This window comes from Homo sapiens, chromosome 5, assembly GCF_000001405.40.
Source record: "Homo sapiens chromosome 5, GRCh38.p14 Primary Assembly".
NCBI classification, from domain to species: domain Eukaryota; kingdom Metazoa; phylum Chordata; class Mammalia; order Primates; family Hominidae; genus Homo; species Homo sapiens.
The window spans coordinates 151688746-151704873 of NC_000005.10; the positions used below are offsets into that span (position 1 = coordinate 151688746).

The following is a 16128-nucleotide window of genomic DNA, read 5'->3' on the forward strand; positions in this document are numbered from 1 at the left end:
CTGTGGCGCAATCTCAACTCACTGCAACCTCCACCTCCTGGGTTCAAGTGATTCTGCTGCCTCAGCCTCTCAAGAAGCTGGGATTACAGGCATGCACCACCACACCAGGCTAATTTTTGTATTTTTAGTAGAGACAGGGTTTCACCATGTTGGCCAGACTGGTCTCGAACTCCTGACCACAAGTGATCCGCCCGCCTTGGCCTCTCTAAGTGTTGGGATTACAAGTCTGAGCCACCATGCCCAGTATCTTTGCATTTGCTCTTACCTCTGCCAGAGACACTCTTCCACCTGATTTTCCTGTGCCTATTCTAATGTCACCTCCTTAGGGCCACTCAATCTACTTGCCTCTCTCACAGGCACAGTTCATCGCCTTACACTGTTTTATTTCCTCCCCATCACCTGTCATTCTCAGAAACCATTTGTTTCCCCAACTAGACAGAAGCTTGGTGAGAGCAGGGACTTCACATGTCTGTTTACTGCTTTGTTCCCAGCATGTTGACCAGTGCCCCACACAAAGCTGGCTTGCAATATTTTATTCAATAAATATATGAACTTCCGACTTGCCCATCTGAAAAAAGAGAGGGTTGTCTTTTACTAGGGTTCCAGCCTGGAACACTGCCCCACACCCAAGAGACCCTCAAACCACTAAAGTGGAATATAAAAGTTAGGGTGTTTGGTCCTTTTGAGAACCTAAAGGAAGCAATGAACTTTCTCTGCAGAAAAATCCACAAACACCCAAGAAGGAGTCTTCTCCAAATGACCCCCAAGGGCCGGGTGCAGTAGTATGTTCCTGGAGTCCCAGCTACTCTGAGGCTGAAGCAGGAGGATTGCTTAAGGCCAGAAGCCTGAGACTAGCCTCGGTGACAGAGCAAGATGCTGTCTGTAATAATAATAAAATAATAATAATAATAATAAGGCCAGGCATGGTGGCTCACTCCTGTAATTCCAGCCCTTTGGGAGGCTGAGGCAGGTAGATCACCTGCGGTCAGGAGTTCGACACCAGGCTGGCCAACATGGCAAAACCCTGTCTCTACTAGAAATACAAAAGAAATTAGTTGGGCATCATGGCACGTGCCTGTAATCCCAGCTACATGGGAGGCTGAGGCAGGAGAATCGCTTGAACCCAAGAGGCGGAGGTTGCAGTGAGCCGAGATGGCACCATTGCACTCTAGCCTTGGAGACAGAGCAAGACTCCGTCTCTAAATAAATAAATAAAGACCCCCCAAGGCCTCTCACCCTGGTTCAAAAGCCAAGTGCTTTTGGCTGCTGAATACAGGGTGCTGGTGGACTCTCCACATATCTGTTTTGCCATCCGGACAGATGTATATTTTTATAGGATTGGTTGCTATAGCTCCCAGGCATTATGGGACTAAAATTAGCAGAAGCTTTGTATTTTTATTCATAAACTAAAATGATGATTCTGATGAGGATGAACCAGTGGAACTCTTCCCAGTTTTTGGCTGGTGTTCCCATGTGGCTTTCAGTTCAGGAAGTGGAAGTCTGGTTGGGGCTGGGCTGAAGCTCTGGAAGAGAGATCCCTCCTGAGGGCCACTTCCAGGTCTCTGTGGGGACACCCTGAGCCAGAATCACTCCCAGAAAGAAAACTTGGTAGGTTTTATATCTAAGGATAAGAGCACATGGCTGGGTGCAGTGGCTCACACCTGTAATCCCAACACTTTGGGAGGCAGAGGTGGGTGGATCACCTGAGGTCAGGAGTTCGGTGACCAGGCTGACCAACATAGTGAAACCCCGTCTCTACTAAAAATACAAAATTAGCCAGGCTTGGTGGCTCACGCCTGTAATCCCAGCTACTTGGGAAGCTGAGGCAGAACTGCTTGAACTCAGGAGGCGGAGGTTGCAGTGAGCTGAGATAGCACCATTGCACTCCAGCCTGGGCAACAAGAGTGAAACTCCACCTCAAAAGGCAAAAAAAAAAAAAAAAAAAAAAAAAAGCATCCTGGGGCAACAGGAGCCTCTGAAGCAAGGATGACTCTGACCTAGAAAGGAAGACCACTAGGACTAAGGCTGGTCTTCCTGCCACCTGCCAAGGGCTTTATAGGAAGGGAGAGAAGCACAACGCAGCCAGGTGTGATAGACCTGGGTGTGAGTCCCACTCTGCTATTGAGTCACTGAGTGACTTTGGGCCCATCCCTGCCCCTCTGAACTACACCTTTTCTTTCTTTCTTTTTAATTGTGTTAATAGAGGCAAGGTCTTGCTAGGTTGCCCAGGCTGGTCTTGAACTCCTGGCCTCAAGCAATCCTCCTGCCTTGGCCTCCCAATGTGCTAGTATTACAAGCATGAGCCATTGTACCTGACCCTACACCTTTTCATTTATAAAATAGGTTGGACAGCAGAATAGTAGTAATAAGAGCCAGCATTTATTAAACACCTACTATGTGCCAAGCACCTGCTAAGCTCTTTGCATATATTGTCTGACTTAACTCTTATAAATCTGGAACTGTTATTATTCCCATTTTATAAATGTGGAAAATGAAGTTCATATCAATAATTTGCTCAAGCTTATGCACCAAGTATATGGTAAATCAGAGATTCAAATCCAGGTTTAAGGGACACCAGAGCCCAAGTGCTTGACTACTGCACGCTACTTCCCCCTCAACTCCTCTCCAGCTCTGACATACGTGGACTTCAGACCATACACCCCTCTCCCGAGTCAAGAATGTTGCTGATCCAACATTAGGCTGAATCAGCTTTTCATCTTGTAAAGCAATCCATCAGTATATTGGGGTCCCTGCTGCCTGCCCACTGCCCTCTCCAACCACTCTCCAGCTATGCTCTTCTAGGCACTTCTCACTTTACCCTGATCCTGCCCTCCTGACCTAGCACCCCAGCCACAGCCTTAGAACTCAAGGGACTGCCTGGGAAATGTCCACATGTGCCTGCCATCCAGGCTCCGTACACCCCCAGTACATCAGCTACCTCGTTCGTTCATTCAGTCTTTATTGTGCTTTGCATCAGGCACTGGGGATATAGCAATAAATAGGACAGACAAGGCTCTGCCCTCTTGCACTTTACATTCCAATAGGTGAAGGCAGGCCGTGAGCTCATTTCAGGTTGTGATCAGTTCTATGGAAGAAACAAGGAAGATGAAATGAAAAAGCAATGGAGGATGACTTCAGATAGGGTCATTAGCATAGGCATCTTGGAGGAGGCAAGATGAGGAAGATGTTGAAGCATGAGTCAATGAGAAGGGCTGAGAGAAGAGTACTCAAGGAGAGGGGAGAACAAGCACCAAAACCCTGATGTGAGGAGAGCTTGGCTTTTTCAAGTAACTGAAAGTGTGGCTAGAATTACCTACTGGGGGAGATTTCCCATCTCCTCCCGTTCTTCCTCGTCCTTTTCTCCTCCATTTTCCTGTTGTTCATTCCTACCCTTTTTACACCCTTTTAGCCACTTCAACATACTTTCTTGTCCACTATCTCAGTGAATGCCACAGCAGTCCTGTGAAAGAGTTAGGGTAGGGATTAGAACCTATAGTGTAGATATGGAGAAACTGAGGCCTCTATCACTCAGGGAAGCTGGGGCTCAAAACCAGGTCTCCTGACTCCTGGCTAAAAACCAGATTCTTAACCACACCAAGAACCTGCTTGTCTTTCTGCTCACTGACTCCAGAGACTCTGTCACTAGCTCTGAGACCAGCCTATGGACCACCTGATGAACCATCTCTGGGAGCTGGACTGGGGCCAGGTAAACTATTCCTACACAGGGACAGGAATACTTGCACAGGGAGCAAGAGGTCTGAACTCTGGAAATAGAGCAGGAAGGCTCTGTGGATTTGGCTTCTGGCAAGGAGGAAAGCAACCAAGCATAAAGTTAAACAAATAAAAGCCGGACAAAGAAACATCCCCTAAGGCCATGCATTAAAAACAGCATCGGGATCTCAGCAGTTCAGATCTCCAGGTCATAACTCCTGAGTGAGCCTTTCGGGTTAAAAAAACTCAACAAAACTTACATAGGAGAACTTGAGGGCCCATGAGGGACCAGGTTTCATTGGAGCAATTGTCACTAAACTGAGAAGGCAGACAATCATATTCAATATTACAAAGCAGATGGTGGGCAAAACACTTTATGTCCATTATCTCATTTAACTCAACAACACTTATGCAGAATATTTGTTTTTCTATCATTACTATAGTAAATTACCACAAATTTGGTGACTTAAAAACAACACAAATTTATTATCTTATAGTTTTGGAGGTCAGAAGTCCTAAAATCAAGGTGTCGTTGGGTTCCTTCCGGAGGAAGGATGAATCTGTTGAGGAAAGAATCTGTTTCCTTACCTTTTTGTTGTTGTTGTTTTGTTTTTTGAGACAGAGTTTCACTCTTGATGCCCATGCTAGAGTGCAATGGTGCAATCTTGCCGCACCGCCACCTCCACCTCCCGGGTTCAAGCAATTCTCCTGCCTCAGCCTCGAGAGTAGCTGGGATTACAGGCATGTGCCACCACATCTGGCTAATTTTGTATTTTTAGTAGAGACAGGGTTTCTCCATTTTGGTCAGGCTGGTCTCAAACTCCTGACCTCAGGTGATCTGCCTGCCTGGGCCTCCCAAAGTGCTGGGATTACAGGCATAAGCCACTGTGCCCTGCCTATTTTCTTACCTTTTTCAGTTTCTAGAGGCCACCCTCATTCCTTGGCTTGTGAACCCTCACTCTGTCTTCTAAGCACATCACTCCAACTCTGCTTCTGCCTTGACATCTTTTCCTGACTTTGACCCTCTGGCCTTCAACTTTTAAGAACCCTTGTCATTACATTGGGCCCACCTAAATAACCTAAAATAATCTTCCCACCTTTAAATCCTTAAATTAATCTGCAAAGCCCCCTCTGCCATGTAAGATAGCCTGTTTATAGGTTCTGAGGATTAGGGCACGTCCATCTTTGGAGGGGCCATTACTTTGTCTACCATAGATGGGTACAATTACCATTCTCATTTTAAAGATGAGTAAAGAAAAGTTCTGAGAACTAAATCACTTGGTCAAGGTCCCACAGTGGAGAAGCCAGGAACACACACAGGTAGCTCCACTCCAGAGCCCTCTCTCCATGACTTCCCCAGGTACTCAACTGCCCATTCTGCCCTTCTGGCCATGGCTGCCTCCCTGCCCCCACTGGCCCCAAACCCAAACCCATTCATCCTTCAAGCTCAGATTGGATCGCTTCTATTTTTTCAAAGCTTAGAACTGACAGGGCCCTTTAGCCCTATTCAATCCCAGATTTTCCATGTGTGGCTGGGAAAATTGAGGTTTAAAGAGCCCAAGGTTACAGTGTGGACAGCTAGGCCTGGGGCCTCTCTCTCCCAGGCTGAAGCCAGCTCTGGCCTGTTCCAAATCTCCGGAGGGAGGGACTGGGCAGGCTGACCTCTTTGGGATGGGGATTATGTATCAGAACTCTCAAATATACCCTTTGTGTGGCTGGCTGAATGTCAAGGCTGCCAAGCTAAGAAGGTTCAAGCACATTGGAGGCTGACTCAGCCTGTTGCCTTGTTACTGTATCTTTCCCCAGGCAGCCCTTCCCATTGTCTGAAGGGCACAAAGAACCCATTGTCATCTGGCCCTGGGTCCCCGAAGCAGAGCATCCACCAACCAGGCCAAGGCCAAACAGAGGAAGATGAAATTTAACCTCAGCACCCTCCCCACTTGCAACACACCCACTGAGCAGTTGAAGGTTTCTCCTTTAGCTCTTTGTAGCTCACAAAGGACTTTTTTTTTTTTTTTTTCTGAGACGGAGTCTCGTTCTGTCACCCAGGCTGGAGCATAGTCGCACAATCTTGGCTCACTGCATCCTCCACCTCCTGGGTTCAAGCAATTCTCCTGCCTCAGCCTCCTGAGTAGCTAGGATTACAGGCGTGTGCCACCAGGCCTGGCTAATTTTTTGTATTTTTTAGTAGAGGCAGGGTTTCACCAAGTTGGCCAGGCTAGTCTTGAACTCCTAACCTAGTGATCTGCCCACCTCAGCCTCCCAAAGTACTGGGATTACAGGCGTGAGCTACCGTGTCTGGCCCACAAAGGACTTTTATCACCCTAATCTTATTGAGTGGCACATTTAGTCTACAAAGTAGAAAGGTCAGGATTCACTAAGCCCATTTTGGGCTTGGGCGGGCAGACAGACAGACTTGCCCAAAGTCACACAGTTGGCCCATGGTGGGGCTGAAATGAAAGCTCCCAAACTCTTAACAGTCAAGACTCTTTCCACTGCACCCACTGCCTCCACCCAGGGTCCCAGTAAGAGTTTACCAAGGCACCGCCTTCTCACAGAGGCTCCCTCTCCACTGAGGTGACAAATGTTAATAATGCGTTGGCTGCACCTTTTCATGTTGACATGTTGACACAAACCCACTGGTCTTAGTCTGTTTTTGTGTTGTTATAACAGAATACCTGGAACTGGGTGATTTATAATAAACAGAAATTTAATGGCTCATGATTCTGGAGCTGGGAAGTCCAAGATTGAGGACTAGCATCTGGCAAAGGTCTTCATGCTGTATCATGCCATGGTAGAAGGGCAAAGAGAGGGAGAGAAAGAGAGCAAGAGATAGAACTTGCAACCTCAAACCCTAATTGATGTTAATCAACTCGTAAGGGCAGAGCCCTCATGACCTAAGCATCTCCCGATAGGCCCCACCTCCCAACACTGCTGCATTGAGGATTAAGTTTTCAACACATGCTTTTAGGGGTACATGTTCCAACCATAGCATCACCCGAGGAGAAAGAAGCACTCATTTGAGTTCTGATTTGGGTTCTTCCCTTAGTAGGACCTGTGCCCTGAGGCCCTGCTTATACTCTGACCTTAAGCAGCTCACTTTTCCTTTCCAAACCTGAGTGTTCTTATCTGTAAAATGAGCATGATTAAAATATTTCACTCTCCTGGGTACAAAGTCAGTGTAAGATTCAAGTGAACATAGATTTTAGGGAGTCAGCAAATATAAGAGGATGTTTAGGAGGCCTAGTTTTTGAGTCAGAACTCTGGGCTTGGGTCCTGGGTCAAAGTTATTTAACTCTAGAAGACTTGAGGCATGTTATCAACCTCCAGCCTCAGCTTCCTCAAGTGTAAAGTTCTTGTGAGGTGCTTGTGAGGATTAAATGAGATCATATATGTAACGCATTTGGCCCACTGCTACATGAATGAAGCACTTCATAAATGTCAGCTATCTTATAAGTAGATTATCTAATTCAACATTTTCCAAAGTGTGTTTCACAAAATATTAGTCCTATAACATATTCCAGAAAGATAGGGGGACCCTGGGTTCAAGCACGTTTGTGAAATGCAGCACTCACTACCTTCCTCGTGGATATTCCTGAGGCACCTTGAAACCTTAAAAGCTCTGAAAATGTCTGCTGAAAAGAAACCTGTTGAACTCTGTTAAAGCTATCACAGAGTCCTCTTTTTCATGAATTTTTAATGCATTCCACAGAACTTCGTTTCCTAACAAACTCCTTGGGGGAATGTTTATTTGCTCCAACACCCTCGTTTGAAGAAGAAACTGAGGTTCAGAAAGGTAAAGTGAGCTGGCCTGGGTCTCCCGGCCAATAAATAGCAGAGCTGGGGCTTGACTCAAGCTAACTAACTCTTCGACCTACTGCTCTTTTTATTAAACCACACTGAGAAAACACCTTCGGCTCTTGATGTGGCCAATCACTCTCCAAAGGTTAAAGATTTGTACTATTGGTTTCACAGCCCTTCAGCCTTTTTCCAGGGCTCTGTATCCATAACTTTGACGGTGCAGGGCTCCCTGCTGCTCTGGGGAGGGTCGGAGGAGCTCGGCACCAGATTGGCTCAGTCTGCCCCAACCCCCGGGTCTGTAATATTGCCGCTGCTGGTCCAGGTCCAGGGAACACTCACACGCAGGCATCAATTTTCTTCTGAAACCCCACCCACACGCCTGGAAATCTTCTCTGAAGGAGGGGAAAAGCCCAATAACCCAGACCCGACAACGTGGCAGCTCTTACACATTCCTTGACGTGGCCCACAAACCAAACGTTTCTTCAATTTAGCTGCAGTGAGGCCAGGAATAATGACGGCCCCGCCAGCCCAGAGACGTGGCAGCCTATGCTGCATGACTCAGTCAGCCTGAGAGGTAGCCTGAACGCTCCGTCCTCTGGGGTCTCTGGGCTGGGGCAGATGGCTGACGAGGAAGGGCGATCTGGACTAAGCAGCTCAGCCCCATCCCCTTCCCCCACCCGTCTCTTCTTCTCCACTGCCTGAGACAAGGCAGCCCTCACTGTCATCTGAGGCTGATCCAGCACTGCGGCTTCATGTCATCTCTCCCACTCCTGGCTCCTGTACCTTTCCTCAGACAGGAGCTTCTTGTCATGATTCTTCGAGATTTCCCATGTCAGTTTCCAACTGCATTCTGTGGAGCTCTGGGAGTTTCATGCAGCAGTCTTAAGAGGACAGAAAGAAGGCCAAGGAGGCGGATCTTCAGACCCCTCGTCCGTCCTTGCTTCAACCACGACAGAACTGCCTTTGTCTGTTTGAAATATTGGGCTTTTGTCTAAAATTTCATTTCTTTTTTATTTTTATTTGTACTTTGTTTTTATTTTTTAATTTTTAATAAAATTTTAATTTACGTTTCAGAGAAACTTCTCTAGTAACGAACTATACAAATAATCCCTGAAAGTATAGTCTTGTAAGATTTCATTTCCAAAGGCGGTTTCGTTAATTAAAAAAAAAAAGTTTGGAATGCACTCATTTATTTTCAGCCCACTGGCTCTCCAGGTGAAGAAAAATGAACCCTGGAGAGAGGGGGTGATCTATCCAAAGACCCAGAGCATCGCAAGCTCTCCAGGGCTCTGTGGGAAGGGGGAGAGTTCCAAGATCCAAGCAGAAGCCACGGAAGACTCGAGCCTGCTTGCTGGAAGCTTTCAGTTTGGTCACTCTGGGCAGGCAGGCAGCTGGCAGTCCCTATGTCCACCCCGAAGCTGGAGGAAGAGACTCCATCTATTAGCCCAGCATCTCCCCGAAAGGAAAAACCAGAGGCCAGGTGCTGTGGCTCACGCCTGTAATCCGAGCACTTTGCGAGGCCAAGGCAGGCAGATCACTTGAGCCCAGGAGTTCAAGACCAGCCTGGGCAACACAGGGAGGCCTGGCTCTACAAAAAATACAAAAATTAGCCTGGTGTGGCATGGGCCTGAGATCCCAGCTAGTCAGGAGGGTGAGGTGGCAGGATCACTTGAGCCCAAGGAGGTCAAGGCTGCAGTGAGGTGTGATCCTGCCACTGCACTCTAGCCTGGGCAACAAAGTGAAACCCTATTTGAAAGAAAAAAAAAACTGCCAGGTGCGGTGGCTCATGCCTGTAATCCCAGTACTTTGGGAGGCCAAGGCAGAGGGATCACCTAAGGTCAGGAGTTCAAGACCAGCCTGGCCAACATGGTGAAACCCCTTCTCTACTAAAAATATAAAATTAGCCAGATGTGGTGGTGCATGCCTCTAATCCCAGCTACTCAAGAGGCTGAGGCATGAGAATCACTTGAATCCAGGAGGTGGAGGTTGCAGTGAGCTGAGATCATGCCACTGTACTGCAGCCTGGGCAACAGAGCGAGACCCTGTCTCAAAAATAAATAGATAGATAGATAGATAGATAGATAGATAGATAAACAAAATGAGCACCGGACAAGGATTCGAGAGACCTGGGCTCCTCACCCAATCATTAAATGATATGGGCAAATCCTTTTCTCGTTCTGGGCCTTACTTTGCTCATTTTTTTTTTTTTTTTTTTTTTTTGAGATGGAGTCTCACTTGGTTGCCCAGGCTGGAGTGCAATGGTGTGATCTCGGCTCACTGCAACCTCTGCCTCCTGGATTCAAGCAATTCTCCTGTCTCAGCTTCCCGGGTAGCTGGGATTAAAGGCACCCGCCACCACGCCCAGTTAATTTTTGTATTTTTAGTAGAGACAGGGTTTCACCATGTTGGCCAGACTGGTCTCGAACTCCTGACTTCAAGTGATCCACCTGCCCCAGCCTCCCAAAGTGCTGGGATTACAGACGTGAGCCACTGTGCCCAGCCATTTTGCTCATTTGTAAAATGAGGCTATTGGGTTAAGTTATAGTTTCCAGGCAGTGGGTGATGAGAACCAAGATGATGGGGTTCAGATCCTCCTGAGAACCCCTTAGAGGCAGCTGTTGTTTTGCTATGTTAATTGTAAACGAGGATTCTGCAGCTAATAAAATGCTTGAAACTCACGAGGCCATGTAACTTAAAGGCCTTTTGACCATTAAATTCAGTGTTTTCCTCCTCTTTCTGTCTCCTGCTTCTCTCCCTCCCCTGAATTCCTTACTCAAATCCCTGAGTTTGCTGGCAGAGACTTCATGATTCTTCAGGGTTGCAGCCCTAAGTCTATCTTGCTATCTCTCTAGAGGCTGGACTCTGCCCTTTCACTTGCAGCATGGGAGAAGAATTGTTTCTTTCCTAAGATCATTAGGGAGACCCAAGGGTCAGGACAAATCATAGCCAGCCACCCCATCTGGCCCAATGCTGAGCTCTCCAGCTCCCCCGTCTCCCACTGAACGGCTCGCTTCCCAGCCCCATCCCAAGTTAGGTTATTCTCCTGATTCAGACATTTTTGTGGTGTGAAATCATCTCCGCCCAGCCAGCCGAAGCTGGGAGCTCACTCCAGCCCACTGCAGCTTGCTGGCCCTCCCTTTCCCTGCCACGTCCCCACACCCTCAGCTCCTCTTCTCCCAGCACTCAGAACTTCCATTTGATTTCCTTTCAATTCTGCAAAGAAACAAAGAGTGTCAAGGGCATGTTGGATTCAGCTCTGTCCTCTCCCTGTAGCTCCTGGTGCAGGTCCTGGCTCATGATCAACCCCTAAGGGAAAGTGATTAAAATAAGTTTGTTAAATCAAGACAGAGAAAGGAGACAAAGGAAGACAGACAGAGTCAGACAGTGGAAGGGAGAGACAGACACTGAGAGTCTGCCATGATTAAGAGAGAGACAGAGGCCAGGCATGGTGGCTCATGCCTGTAATCCTAGCACATGGGGAGGCCAAGGCGGGTGGATCATCTGAGGTCAGGAGTTTGAGACAAGCCACGCCAACATGTCGAAACCCCATCTCTACTAAAAATATAAAACTTAGCTGGATGTGGTGGCACGCGCCTGTAATCCCAGCTACTCGGGAGGCTAAGGCATGAGAATCGCTTTAACCTGAGGGCCGGAGGTTTCAGTGATCCCAGACCATGCCACTGTACTCCAGCCTGGGTGAAAGAGAGAGACTCCATCTCAAAAAAAAAAAAAAAGAAAGAAAAGAAAAGAATGGCCGGGCACAGTGGCTCACGCACTTTGGGAGGCCGAGGTGGGCAGATCACGAGGTCAAGAGACCGAGACTATCCTGGCCAACATGGTGAAATCCCATCTCTACTAAAAATACAAAAAAAAAAAAATCTAGCTGGGCGTGGTGGCGCATGCCTGTAGCCCCAGCTACTCGGGAGGCTGAGGCAGGAGAATCACTTGAACCCAGGAGGTGGAGGTCGCAGTGAGTGGAGATCCCGCCACTGCACTCCAGTCTGGCGACAGAGTAAGACTCCGTCTCAAAAAAAAAAAAAAAAAAAAGAGAGAGAGACAGAGGTGGGAGACAGAGAGACAGAGAGATGAGACAGACACAGAAACAAATGCAAAGAAAACTTACCTGAAACTTAGCAACAAAGCAAAAGGGTGACTGCATGTCCTCTCAGTGTTAGACTGGAACATGGTCTGACAAGTCCATCCAGGGATCATCTTCTCTAGGGGTTGTGCTACCTACTATTGATGAGGGCTCTGACTTTGAAGTTACATGTTAACTTGCAGGTTTCTGTCCATTAGAAACAAAACAAAAAAAAAGAACCCCAGAGGTGACAGTGCAAATGCCTTGCAGGGCGTTAACCGGTTTTGTATATTACCCAGCAGCCTTTTTCCAGCATTCTTTCAATGCAGTAGCTGTATAATCTCTTTTTGAATTCTCTTTGAACCAACTTTACCATGCTGCTTATTCCCTCATTAATGGGTTAAAAAAATCATTAACATGTGCTCATTTTTTATTCATTTTTATTCATTTTTTATGAGTCATGTTTTTAACTGTTAAAAACTGTATTCTGATAAGAGAGGCAGAAATAGAATGAGACAGAGATGAAGAAAGAGACAGAGTGAGAGGCAGAGGCAGAGATAGAAAGGGAAAGAGACATAGGGACACTGAGAGAGGCCAGAGAAAGAGACACACAGAGAAACAGAAGAAACAAAGGTTAGAGGGACTGAGACCCAGTGAACCCATGCACAGAGTCAGAGAGAGAGAGAGAGACAGAAAGGCTAGCAGCAGAGATCAAGATCAGCCATGCATGCACAAAACACCAGAAGTAATGTTAGCCTCTGGGGAAGGGATACATTGGAGTGAAAATGGAGGTGAAGGGGAGGGACTTTTATATTTATTTATTTATACTTCTATCTTGAATTTCTTTCTTTTCTTTTCTTTTTCATTTAGAGACAGAGTCTCTCTATGTTGCCCAGGTTGGTCTTGAACTCCTGGGCTCAAGTGATGCTCTTGCTGCGACCTCCCAAATTGCTGGGATTATAGGCGTGAGCCACTGTGCAGGCACTTCAATTTCTTATGAGAATATAATCATGTGTTATTTTATACTTTTATTTTTTATTTTAATTTTTATCTTTTTGAGACAGAGTGTCACTCTGTCGCCCAGGCTAGAGAGCAGTGGTGCGATCATGGCTCACTGCAGCCTTGACTTCTCAGGCTCAAGTGATCCTCCTTCCTCAGCCTCCAGAGTAGCTGGGACTACAGATGCACACCACTAGGCCCAGCTATTTTTTTACTATTATAGAGATGCGGGGGAGGGGGTCTCACTATGTTGCGTAGGCTGCTCTTGAACTCCTGGGCTCAAGCAATCCTCCTATCTCCGTCCCCCAAAGTGCTGGGATTACAGGTGTGAGCCACCATGCCCAGCCCATTTTACATTTTTAAAATAGTCATAGAGGGAAAGGCAAAGAGAGACTGTGAAAGAAGCAAAACCACTAGAGAGAGAAAACATCAAGAAAGCAAGGACAGGTACACTGGCTGGCACCTGTAATCCAAGCGCTGTGGGAGTCAGTAAAATTCTTGAAAATTAACTGTAACATTATTTCTTAAACTTTCTAATTTTTGTAACTATTAAGGCTGATTTTTAAAATTATGGTAAAACAAATATAAAATTCCTATGGTGAGTTATTGATAATGGAAACATCATCACTGTGAAACAAATGTAGGTATTGTGTGAGGCACAAGAGCTACAGTGGAGACAAAGACAGACGAGGTCCCTGCTTTCATGGCACTTACATTCTGGGGAGAAGGCAATAGAGAACAGGCCCATAAATAAACACACAAGACAATTTTTTTTTTCTCAGATGGAGTCTCGCTCTGTTGCCCAGGCTGGAGTCCAGTGGCATGATCTTGGCTCACTGCAACCTCCACCTCCCGGGTTCAAGCGATTCTCCTGCCTCAGCCTCCCGAGTAGCCAGGACTACAGGTGAGTGCCACCATGCTCAGTTAATTTTTTTTTGTATTTTTAGTAGAGACGGGGTTTCACCATGTTGGCCAGGCTGGTCTCGAACTCCTTACCTCGTGATCTGCCTGCCTGAGCCTCCCAAAGTGCTGGGATTACAGGCGTGAGCCACTGCACTTGGCTCTCTGAGATCATTCTTAGCCCCTCAGGCTATATGACTGGCTTGTGAGGGCCAAGTGCAGCTTGGACTGAATCCAGGCCTGGGATATTTACACCTTAAGGTCATTTTCAGTTTCCAGCCCAGAGTTTTGGCCCCAAAGGCAGGCGGCATCCAGCTTCCCTCAGCCGCTCAGCTGGCCAAAAAATAAGAAAGCCACCTTGTGCTCATGGGAGGGCAGCCACGGGAGTGGGTCTGGGTGGGGCCCGGTGCCGTGGGATGCCCGGGAGTATATAGATCCATTTCAGAGGCTCGCCAACCCCTTCACCCAAGGACTCTTCTGGGCCTCTCCTGTGCTTTCCAATTAAAAATATCATTCCGTAATGTTTCTCAGAGGCTCTCAAAGGGCCACGGGAAAGGCAGCCAGGGAAGGGGCAGGAGGGAGGGGAGGCCAATATCTAAAATAGAAGGAGTAGTGGTCCAGAGCAGGACTTCTGAGACTTCAGTCATCTGGTACCATCTTTACCTTTGTTGCCATATCCTCATAACACCTACAGAATTACTTAATTTCAACTTTTTTTTAATCTAAATAAATTTAACTTAAAGAAAACCTTATATCATAACACTGAAAAAAGAGTATAATTTGCCAAGTGTGTCCACATATCCCCTCAGATCCACTCTCTGCCCCTCCCCAACTGCTCTCTAGGCCAGAGGGGCTGACCTTATGGCCCACACCCATGAGCTCCCATGGCCTCTGTTTCCATCTGGGATTGGCCAGTGGGGAGCATCAGTAGGCGACTGGGAAGAGGGAGAAACAAGAGTGAAGTTAGAATCTTTCTTTCCCCATCCCCTTCCCTAGAGGATCACAGCAGACTGGCTGTGTTCTTCAACCCAAGGGCTGAGCTCCTGTTCCTTGGCCCTCTCTCTGGTTCTAGTACCCACTCTCCCTTACCCCTCAGGCACCTTGCTGCAGCTGTCCCTAGAGGACTGCACTGTCCTTGTGATTTACATACACAGGGCCCACATCTTTATAAATAGTCCCTTGATGAAATTCTCAGATTACCCATTTTGAAAGTGCCATCTGTTTTCTGCCAGGAACCTGGCTGATACACTTGTCATAAAGAGAAAGTAATTGACAGTGATAATACAATTATGCTATTACGTTCTAACCAAATGTAAAAAGGGATGAATAATTTTTATATAATGCTATAGAATGAGCTTCAGGGAATATTAGTAAAAAGTGAACAAACCATTAAAAACAAAGTGCAGAGCAATGTTTAGACTGCAAGAGAGAGAAAAATAAAAACATGCACATGTGCATTTGCTCACATACCCAAAAAGAAGCAACTGAAAGGTAAAACTAAAAATTAATAGAGATGGTTACCTTAGGGAGAGAGAAAATGTTGTTGATAAAAAGCTAGTGTTCTCTGATTACTTTGTTATATAGTTTTAACTTTGGAACTATTAAGTGTTTTGTATAATTAAATTTACATTAAAATAACATAAGCTATTGATTGGCTATACAACGTTCTTTTGCACCACAAATTCCAGGAACATAAAGATAATGGGTAAAGGTCACATAGTGCAACTTATGGTAACAGTTTAGGTTATTTATCAACTAGTCTGGAAGCTTTGGTGAAGGAAAGAAAGAAAAAAATGCCTTTAAACAATTGTCCCTGGAAAATGGGAGTGGAAGGGGGTGGGTGTCAAGACTGTCTCATACTCATGGTCTCTCACAGCCTGATAAATTTTGCACACTCCACATTCTTTGGACAGCTCTGAGCTACTTTTCTTTCTCAAGGGGAAGTTCTTCCTTAAAACATTGAGGAAGCATTGTTAGAAATTGAAGATCAACATTTTGCAGCCCCTAAGAGTAATGGGTCAAAGTAACGATTAAGGAATGAGAGGTCGATGAGGAACCATGTAATGGATGGGCCAGGACAACAGTACTTGAACCAGTTCAATAATCTTGATAGTTTGTTTGGAGGTTCTAGCAGGGGAGTGCAGCTGTTTGTACACCCTTGACTGAAGACCAGTCCAGCTCTGTCTGGGATGGTCATCCTCTCAGACCTAGCACTCAGCTTCAGGGGGACGTGCATGGAGTGGTGAGGAAGGACAGGGACACCTGCCTAGCCAGCCAGAGCAGCCAAATCAACCCTGGCGGTCAATGAGGTGACACATATCGTAGCCAGATCGTCCTCACATCCGAATTCAATAATCTTAACATCACTAAGTGTGGGACAAAGAGACATCTTGTTCTTCATGGTGTGATGTAATAAAATGTGCACACCATGACATAGGAAGTACTTATGGCAAAAGAAATTAACCTGAGTGTAACTACCAGTTTATGGGAAATACAAAGGAATAGAGAAATGTGTCTAAAAACACAAGAATTAAATCAGCCAAACCAGAATATGGTGAATTTTGCAAGACAAATAACATGATTTCTTCAATAAATGAATGGCATGACAAAAGGTGGGGAGTGAAGGGAGGATCTCTAAT

The 16128-nt window shown here is 46.3% G+C and overlaps 1 pseudogene, besides 1 other annotated feature; it reads right to left on the reverse strand.

Annotated features, from left to right (window-relative positions):
* Positions 10714-11535: an enhancer, noted in NCBI's record as "H3K27ac-H3K4me1 hESC enhancer chr5:151079020-151079841 (GRCh37/hg19 assembly coordinates)". NCBI's record gives its function as "activates a minimal SCP1, AML or CMV promoter by ChIP-STARR-seq in primed H9 embryonic stem cells {active_cell/tissue: H9 hESC(primed)}" and the evidence as "EXISTENCE:reporter gene assay evidence [ECO:0000049][PMID:30033119]".
* RN7SKP232 (RN7SK pseudogene 232) lies at positions 15544-15833 on the reverse strand (annotated as a pseudogene).